The sequence below is a fragment of the Homo sapiens genome, chromosome 9, assembly GCF_000001405.40.
Source record: "Homo sapiens chromosome 9, GRCh38.p14 Primary Assembly".
Lineage (NCBI taxonomy): Eukaryota > Metazoa > Chordata > Mammalia > Primates > Hominidae > Homo > Homo sapiens.
Window position 1 is genome coordinate 81,486,856 of NC_000009.12, and position 9,576 is coordinate 81,496,431.

Here is a 9,576-nt window from a genome sequence, read left to right on the forward strand (position 1 = left end):
CATTAGATAATTATTATTCTAAAATAAATACTCACTGGCTACCTTTGGAAAGTGTTAGGGAATTAATTTAATATTCTGAAAACTGATGAATCAAAATAAAGCATCAAGTAATACCTTTCCTCTCCTATACCAACTATACTTGAGGATAAGCAAATAGTTAATGAGGAATAGTATATTTCTTTACAGAAATATTCCAGCTTATAAATCAGGAAGGAATTACTGAATTGTATTATCATCATTTTTGCAAACTCTGATAAAATAATGAACGCAGAAAATGATCATTATTGGCTCCTAACATCAACAAAAGAGAGATAACCAGATATATGTCTCCTTCTGAAAGTAGATACCACCACTTATACAGAGAAGCTTGTGGATCACCCAGTTTCTAATAGATATGTAGGGGAATAAGAATCTCACTAAATGACAGTTTGAAGATGCAAAATCAAGAATGTGAAAAGTTCTACAGGACCAATGACCCAAGTTTTTCAACTAACAAATTGCAAAGAAAAAAAAATAAGTGAGGAAGAGACAACCTATAAATTAAAAGAGAATTGAGAGACATATCAACCAATTGCAATAGACAAACTTTATTCTAATCTTGATTTGAACAATTGTTTAAAAAATAGATTTCTAGCCTATCTGGGGAATTTGACCACCAATTAGCTGTTTGATGATATTAAAGAATTATTATTAATCTTATGACAATGGTAACATAATTATGTTGTCTTAAGAGAGTCCTTACCTTTTAGATACATACTAAAATTATGAATAAAATGATTCAGTGTCCTGGATTTGCTTCAAAATGATCCATCTGCGAGTAGTAGCAGGGAGTTAAATAAAACAGGATTTGCCATGAGTTGAAAGTTGCTCAACAGGTGATGAGAATATGGATGTTCTTTACTGTTTTTTTCTCCTTTTTGTGTAAAGATAGTAAAAGTTTAAAATTCCAGAACAATCACAAATATCCAAATTATCCATCTTCGATTTAAAGGTATCTTATTTCTCTGAATGAATATTAAGGCTTGGAAGAAAACACCTATTTTATAGCTAAATCAAGAAAGACCTCATGTATTAATAGTTCCATGACCAACCATTAGAAAGAAGGGACAATATTATTTTAAAGGATCTTGGCAGAATTTCTTATAAGAACAGAACTGTCTTTTGTTAAGCAAAAAATGAGCCATTTAGGTAGAACAATGGTGGTAGTCTAGAAGAAAATAGTAGAAGAATGAGAAGAATAAATGCCTTCTTATGACTTTAAAAAATGAGAATTGGGACATGCACAGGAAGCTGAGAAGTGAATGGCCTCAGAAGGAAGGAGAAAAGATCTAAGGAAATACAGACAGCAAGGGAACCTAGCACCCTGGAAGGAAGTCTTTTCCATAAAGAAATTTTCCCCTTGGCAGGTAACCAACAGCAACCCAGGTGGAGGGGGCAGAGAAGGAGCCAGTGATGCTGCCCAAACCTGGGACTTATTCCCTCCACTGGGAGGTCAGTACAAGCCAAGTTCCTGGTGGGGTCACACTGAGAACATTTGGCAGGTTGTGCCTCTATGACGTGACGTGATCAGTCCGGAGTGACGCTGATGGCTCATCATGGATCTGATCGGCACCAGGTTCTTGTCTGTACCAAGTTGGTGAAGCCCTTCCAAGCCCAGGTGGGCTCCCTGTACATTGTCCTCGGGGGGCTCCAGGACCAGCAGCACGGAGGCTCCATGATAAAGGCATTGGTGCTGAACTGTGTGGAAGGGATGGATCTGCCCTTGTGAGAACAAGCCAAGCGGGAGCAGAGGCAGTACCAGCGTGTGAGGGACGGCGGCCAGTACGACGTGCAGCCCAGTAACACCCCCTACCTGCTTCTGAGGCCAAAGCCTCCCAAGCTACGGGAGCGCCCCAGAGCATAAGCGCTTCCCCAGCGACTGCCTTGTCTGGACCCTGAAAGCAGAGGGGCAGGCGGTTAATCCAGCCCCTTCCCCTAATTTGGGATTGACTCAGAAATGAAAACTCAGAAAACAGGCCCCAAATCCAACACTCCATACCCCCACCCCACCCCCACCCCCTACCACACCAGGGGCTGCAAGTGGCCGAGCTCCAGGCTGCTGAGGCTGTGCCTTGTGTGGGGTCATGGAGGGTTTCAGAAGGCCCTGGTGAATAAAGCCCCAGAGGGCATGACCTTGAAAAAAAGAAAGAAATTTTCAGTGCTAGCTATGGCTATGAGACTGTAAAACAGGGATGGCTAAAATTCAATTTTGAATTATCTGCTGTGCTATAAGGTGCCGTGACCCCCCAACCCTCCACTATTGCCAACCTTCAGTAAAAGCAAGGCTCATGCAGCCATATGTGAGTGGTTCTTGGAAAAGAACCAAAGACAGCTGCTGTTTATGTTGAGCTGATATAGGCAGAAGAAAGAGACAACTGCAAAAGAGGAAATGTGTGGTTAGCAGAAGCAGAAAACTGGAGCAACATATGACTGAGAGATATGGACACTCCTCAAGAATCCTCAGATATGGATGGAAAGGGTGGTGAGAAGCTTATAGGTAGAAGCTCAAGCCAGTTCATTTGACAATTAAAAGAAAATGTAAATACATAATGAAGGATGCCTCCCCAAGGCTGGAAGTTGGAAATAACCAAGAAATGAACACCTGGAGGGCAGTTAGAGGGTGACGTAGACCACCATGTTCTGTAATCCCATGCTGTTAATTTTGAAAAAGACCCAAGAGATCATCCAGAATGGCAGTTTTAAATCTCGTCCACAAAGCTCTGGGTTTCTCATACGTGACTCAAGGGCTTCCAGACAGCCCCTCGGTTTGGGTCTGTCTTATTCCCTTCACACTGTCATAACAAAACACCATAGATTGGGTGGCTTATAAACAACAGACACTTATTTCTCATAGTTCTGGAGGTTGGGAAGTCAAAGATCAAGGCACCAATAGATTTGCTGTTGGGTGAGGGCCCACTTTCTGGTTCATAGATGGCACCTTCTTGCTGTGTCTTGACATGATAGCAAGGGATCTCTCTGAGCCCTCTTTTATAAGGCAACAATCCCATGCATGACATGCTCTCATGACCTAATCACCTCCCAAAGGCCCCACCTCCTACTACCACATTGGTAATTAGGTTTTAACACAGGAATTTTGGGTAAACACAAACATTCAGACCATATCGGGCACCTAATCCAATCCTCGCTTCATCCAGAAGAGTTGAATCTATATTACATCTTAAGATTCCACATCAGATGTTATTTTTAAAAAATATTTTTGCTGCTACAAAGAAGAAAGAAGCAATGATATCATCTAATCTCCTCACAATACAGAAAGGCAAAGTTGAAGAATGCTAAGTAAGTTGCAACAATCACACAGCAGAGTTGATAATAAAAGCCCGTTCTGATTTTCACTCTGCTCATTCCTCCTTCTCAGCTTCGAGACTGACAAAGGTACCAACAGAAAACAGATGTACACTCACAGTTAGATTGGCTCCTGCAGTATTACGGGTTCTCATCAAACAGAAGTCACCATTGTCCAGATATCAGGAGTCTTCTCACTGCCATAACCAGGTAGTAGAAAAAGGCTTATAGGCCAGAGGAAACTCCTGCCCTCTTTCTGCCTGCTGCAAATATCTATTCTAATACAGGTTCAAGGCTCTGAAGAAAGCTTGAGGCTGACAGAAAAGTCCCCAACATTTTCTTAATCTATCCTCCTGACAAGGGCTCCAAGGATGTCTTGTTTCCGCTGCAGGAGACGGTCTGAACTGCCTTCCCTTACATTCCCGCAATTTGTATCTAACAGAGTCAACCACCATCTCTCTACCAAATTTGTACCTCCTAAGCCAAAAATTAAATTTTAGGAAAGTTCCAGGCATAATGGAAAGAAGACTGGATTGAGAACCAAAAGACCTGGGTCAACAGGACAGTTCTGCCAATTCGCTGTGTGACCGGAAGTTAAGTTGATTAACTGTGGGTTTCAGTTTCTTCATCTGTAAAATGGTTACAATAATACTTACCTCACAGTGTTATTGTATGAGGAGCAAATGAAGTAAGCCACTTAAAACAACTAACCCAGGACATGTGAGTCATTCCATAAACATTGGTTGATTTTTTTTTTTTCACATTTTAGTTCAACCTCACAAAGAAGTACTACAGTACTTGCTTGGCAGTCTATCATTGGTACTCAGCTAAAGCGAGGAGACTGGCAGCAGCCAAAAGGGCTGTGAAGAGGGATTTCTTGTCTGTGACTGAATTCTGGATGTGTTTCCTAAGATGCTGATGTGTCCACACTAAAAGGCAAAGATGTTTGCCAGTGTCCCTCCAGAATATACAATCTGAAGAAAAAAGGCAGAGTTGTTATGTGGTCAGAGTTGACTGTCCGCCCAGACCACTCTTCCTCTGCTGGTCTCTTGTGGTCCAGGGAAAATGTTGGCATCACAGAAAATATGTCATTCTGTTGGTTAAAGCTTGGAGAGTGAGTCAGCCATATAGTGCCTCATGAAGCAGGTGAATCCAACCACCTCTAAAGGAAATTAAGCTCTCTTCCTTCCCACAAGATATTTTAGAACAGTAGACCATCAATTTCACATGGCAGCAGCAAATCCATACTCTCACCTTCCCCTTTTGCCAGGAACCATTATAGGGCTCTTCCTCAACTGCATATGCCCAATCAGGCCACTTACCTAATTCACATAACTGATGCAATCCCTAGCAATGAAAAAACTGCCCCATCTCCCTTGTGATGCATGCCCAGTTGTCCAGTTGTCTAGTTTATAGCTATTCTATAACCTTACACACAGTCCTCTATCCTGTCCTCAGCTGACAGCCATCCTTTCTCATCACAAACTCTACTCTGAATAAACCAAAGGTTTGATTTTCATATTTTGGGTTTTTTTTTTTATTACTGTTTCATCCAACTTGAAACCATAAAAGCAAACTTAATGTATAAGAACAAGCTCAGGGAAAAAGAAATTTGCACATAAGTTGAAACACACTTATTATATCAATCAGCAACTGTCACAATAATGCTGAGTAACTAGCCAACCTAGAACTCAGTGACTACACCATAAGGCTCTGTGATATGGTTTGGATCTGTGTCCCCATCCAAATCTCATGTTCAATTGTAATCCCCAATGTTAGAGGTGGGGCCTGGTGTGAGGCAATTAGATCAGTTTCTAATAGTTTAGCACCATCCTCCTAGTGCTGTTCTCATTATAGAGTTCTCATAAGATCTGGTTGCTTAAAAGTGTACAGGCTGGGCCCGGTGGCTCATGCCTGTAATCCCAGCACTTTGAGAGGCCGAGGCGGGTGAATCACAAGGTCAGGAGATCCAGACCATCCTAGCGAACACGGTGAAACCCCGTCTCTACTAAAAATACAAAAAATTAGCTGGGTGTGGTGGCACACGCCTGTAGTCCCAGCTACTTGGGAGGCTGAGGCAGGAGAATCGCTTGAACCCGGGAAGCGGAGGTTGTAGTGAGCTGAGATTGCACCACTGCACTCCAGCCTGGGCAACATAGCAAGGCTCCATCTCAAAAAAAAAAAAAAAGTATGTAGCACCTCCCACCTCTCTCTCTCTTCTGCCCTGGCCATGTGAAGATGTGCCTGCCTCCCCTTCATCTTCTGCCATGATTGTAAGTTTCCTGAGGACTCCCCAGCCATGCCTCCTGTACAGCCTATGGAACCATGACCCAATAAAACCTCTTTTCTTTATAAATTACCCAGTCTCAGGTATTTCTTTATAGCAGTGTGAGAAAAGACTAATACACTCTTCCTTAGGCTGCAAGTCAGCTGAAATAACTCTATTCCACAGTGGTCATTCTGGGCCCTTTGCTAGAGAGACAGCTGCTGGTATCAAGAGAAGAAGTTGAAGGCTTCCAGAAGTTCATGTGGACACATGCAAAGCATCTTAAGGCCTGGAATCAGAACTCACACACTGTCACTTCCTATGTATTCCATTAACCAAAGCAAATCACAATGCCAAGTCCACATTAGTAGAGTGGGGAAATATACTCCTCTCATGGAGGTAGTGGGGATAAAGAAAGTAAATATTTGCCAAACAATGATCTAATCTACAACACCTATGTACACATCAGCTAGTTACTCCTTACACACTAAACATTTCCCTGCAACTCAATATTTATGTCTTTCTTGCCAGATATTGCCAGAGTTAGAAGTTAGATAATACAATACCTCTATGGATAGGGAAGTTGTCTCTATAACAAAACTTTCATGAGGTCTACCCATCATTGCCTACTCAGCATTAGGTAAGAGAAATGAGATAATAAACAGATATTAGAGCATTAGGTAAGAGATAAGCCTTTCTTCTGGTTGTATGCAGCAGTTACTAGAAATAGATGCATGTATAATGGATGTGTAATTCAAACATACACACATACACAAACCACAGACATTTTTGCAAATTTGGCAGTGCCATGGGGAACCTCCAGCTTGTGGTTTGGCCTTTCATGTGGAGTTTCACTTGAGTATTTGCTTTGGAATTTGATAAACACAGCTATTCACAGGGCTATCATCACATGGTATATTTGCTACCACAGAAACACAGAACGTCTTCTAAAGGAACAGCCCCTATTTATCCTGTAAGCTGAATTCCTGCCATTTCCCAAAGATCCCACAAAATGACTCCACGTGTTCCTACTTCATGGTAATTTGGAATAGGGGGTAATGCATTTGTTTTCCACAAATCCTCTTTTGCCTCCTTCCTCTGGCAGAATTACCTTCATCATGCTTTATTTTAAAACATAAAAAAAAAATCAAGAAGTAGGGAAAATAGTCTCATTTTAACAATTGAAAAGTAGGAGTAGGCAGGGATGAAGTTCTGGCTAGCATGGTCTTCTGGACCCTCCTATTTTCCTAACAAGATCTAGGAAAAAGAATTAAAAATAGGCTGTCACAACATTATCTTCAGAACTTCTTCACCTATAATTTAACTTTTTATTGTTATGATGAAGGACAACAAATCTTTTTATCCCTTCTATTTGTCCAGGATTTAAGCTAAGGGAAATTTAGTGGGAGACCTAGTAGAAAATGAAACACCAATCTAAAAGTTCCAGAAGAAGGGACCACACAAAGTAGCAGAGAGTGGCCAGCTCTGTAATCAGGCAAATGTGGGTTTGAATCCAGACTCCGCTCCTTCCTCTGTCATCAGGCAAAATTGCTTAATGAAATACTGTTTAAGTTACTTATTGCTGCATAACAAACCACCTCAAAACTCAGTAATTTAAAACAACCATCTTACCATAGTCATGGTTTTGCAGAGTCTAGAATTAGGGCAGTGCACAGCAGGGAAAGATTATCTCTGCTCTACAATGTCTGTGGCCTCAAACAGAGTAGTACAGAGAACTGAAAATGACTGGGATGGCCCAACTCTGTTCATACATTTGGGGCCCACATTTTAACTGACAGTCACGGTTTCCTGAGGGGATAGGGGGCAGGTCTTTTCCCCAGTTTCTAATGAAGCTAGAATATGTCCAAGATGACTTCTAGGCTAAGATGGCTGATGAGCTAGTGCTGGCTGGGTATAGATCTCTGTCTGTCTCTCTGTCCTCCTCTGCCCCCTCCCCGGGTAGCCTCTCCACATGGCTAGCCTGGGCTTCCTCAAAGCATAACAGTCTCAGGGTACTTGAAATCCTCACATGGCAGCTAGAACTAAAGCAAAAGCTTCCAGGCCTCTTAAAAACTAGATCTAGAACATGCAGTGTCCCTTCCGCCAAATGCTGTTGGTCAAGTCAGCCACAAGGGCCAACTCAGAGTCAAAGGAGGGGAGAAAGCACCCACTTCTTGATGGAAAGGTGGCAAAGAATTTGCAGCCATTTTTAATCCGCCCCAGACTCAGTTTCCTCATTTGTGAAATAAAGACCACAAAAAAACTATTTTATATGACTGTTTTGAGGATCAGATAAAATGTACGTAATATATCTGACATTTAGTTAGCATTGTAAGCAGTAGCCTTTATTAATGAGTTTGTTTCAACATGAGAACATCTACAACTCCAAGATCAGACCTTCACCTTACCAAAATGAAAGGAATGAGAGAAAATTTCCAAGGATGTCAAGATATATCTAAGATAAAATATAATGTATAATAAAGTCCATATTCTATTATTTCCTATTGATTTGCTCCCAGTGTTATTAGCCTTATATTGTTTTCATGGCTCAGGTGAATCTAATATCCATTCCTAAAGGTGGAACAGGCCACCATTATGGTGAAGTGTTCAGTAACACGAGGGTAGATGAGGAATGTCCTGGTGGTGAGAGCAGATGCATAGAAAGAAGTTCTATTGTCGAAAATGGCCCACGTATGTCAAGCCCTCTACAACAGGCAATCAAAGCAACCTTCTGCACAGCCACACCCTTACCCTGATAGGTTCTTACCCTTCTGGTGCCTCTAGACTTTTGACCAGCAACCAAAAGTCTTAGAGAATAGGACTTGAGGTGGAATCCCAGCTCTGGCCCTTGCCACATGAGCCAAGTTCCTTACCTCTCTGCATGTCTATTTCTTACTTACAGGAGTGTACAGTGTATGGTAATGCACATGGGAGATGCCCAAAGGCCCTTCTGTCAGGAGCTAGCACTGTCAGTGGATGTAATACTCAGTGTCCCTGATTTTTGCATCCATTACTTTAAACTTCCCACCTGCACAAGTGCACTCATATCGATAGCCCATGTGACTTATGCTTGGGTTGGAGAATTAACTTAGTTGGTGGTGACCAAAGAAACTGAGAATCTACAGGGAAGGGGGCAGCCCAGAGCCAGCCCCAGGACCCGTTCAGAAAGCTGGGAGCTCTTCTGTTGCTACAAAAGCCTTTTCTGAACAGTACATTTGGTTTCTGGCCTCTCACCAAGGTGGCAGGATGCTTTCTCAGGGAGTTATGTCTATCACTCCCTTTCTAGGGCCTCAAAGTACTGCAGTATGGCTTCTACCCCCATGAATCCATCAGAACAGCTCTATGGAGGGCCACCACTGACATTCATATCCACAGAGACAGCAGACTCTTTATTCTCCCGCTTGACCCTGTGTGGCAGCATTTGGCACTGTTGACTTCTTTTTTTAAGCACTCTCTTCTCAGCTTCAAGTCATCTGTTTTTTCCTACCAGCCCATTCTTCTCATCCTCTTCACAGGTTCATCCTCCTGTACCTGCGAGTTAAATTTTGGAGTTTCTCAAACTTTGGTGCTGGGTCTTCTCTTCTCTTCTCATACTCCTTGTCTCCTGACAGCCTCACTTAGGACTGTCCCTCAATCGCCTGATGAAAACACAAAAACGTACATCTTCAGTCCAGACCTCTCCCACAGACAACTCCTGAGAGGTATCTCCATGGTACCGTAAACCCAAAATGTCCAAAGCTGAACCCATAATTTATCCCCACCAAGGATGGTCGTCCTCTAAGGTATCGTTTCTCCATTTATGAAACCACCATCTATAGTTTCTCAAGCCAGAAAACTAAGTCATCCTTCATAGATTTCCTTATCTCTTCCCTATCCTGTTATCTCTCAGTTCATCTCACTCTCTATTATCCTCTCATTGAGACCACTGTAATAGACTAGTAGCTATTATAGCTCACGAAGTTTTGTTT

The 9,576-nt window shown here is 42.1% G+C and overlaps 1 pseudogene; it reads left to right on the forward strand.

Annotated features, from left to right (window-relative positions):
- The first annotated feature begins 960 nt into the window (after positions 1-960).
- On the forward strand, positions 961-2,132 carry LOC101060099 (CST complex subunit TEN1-like; annotated as a pseudogene).
- The last annotated feature ends 7,444 nt before the right edge of the window (positions 2,133-9,576 follow it).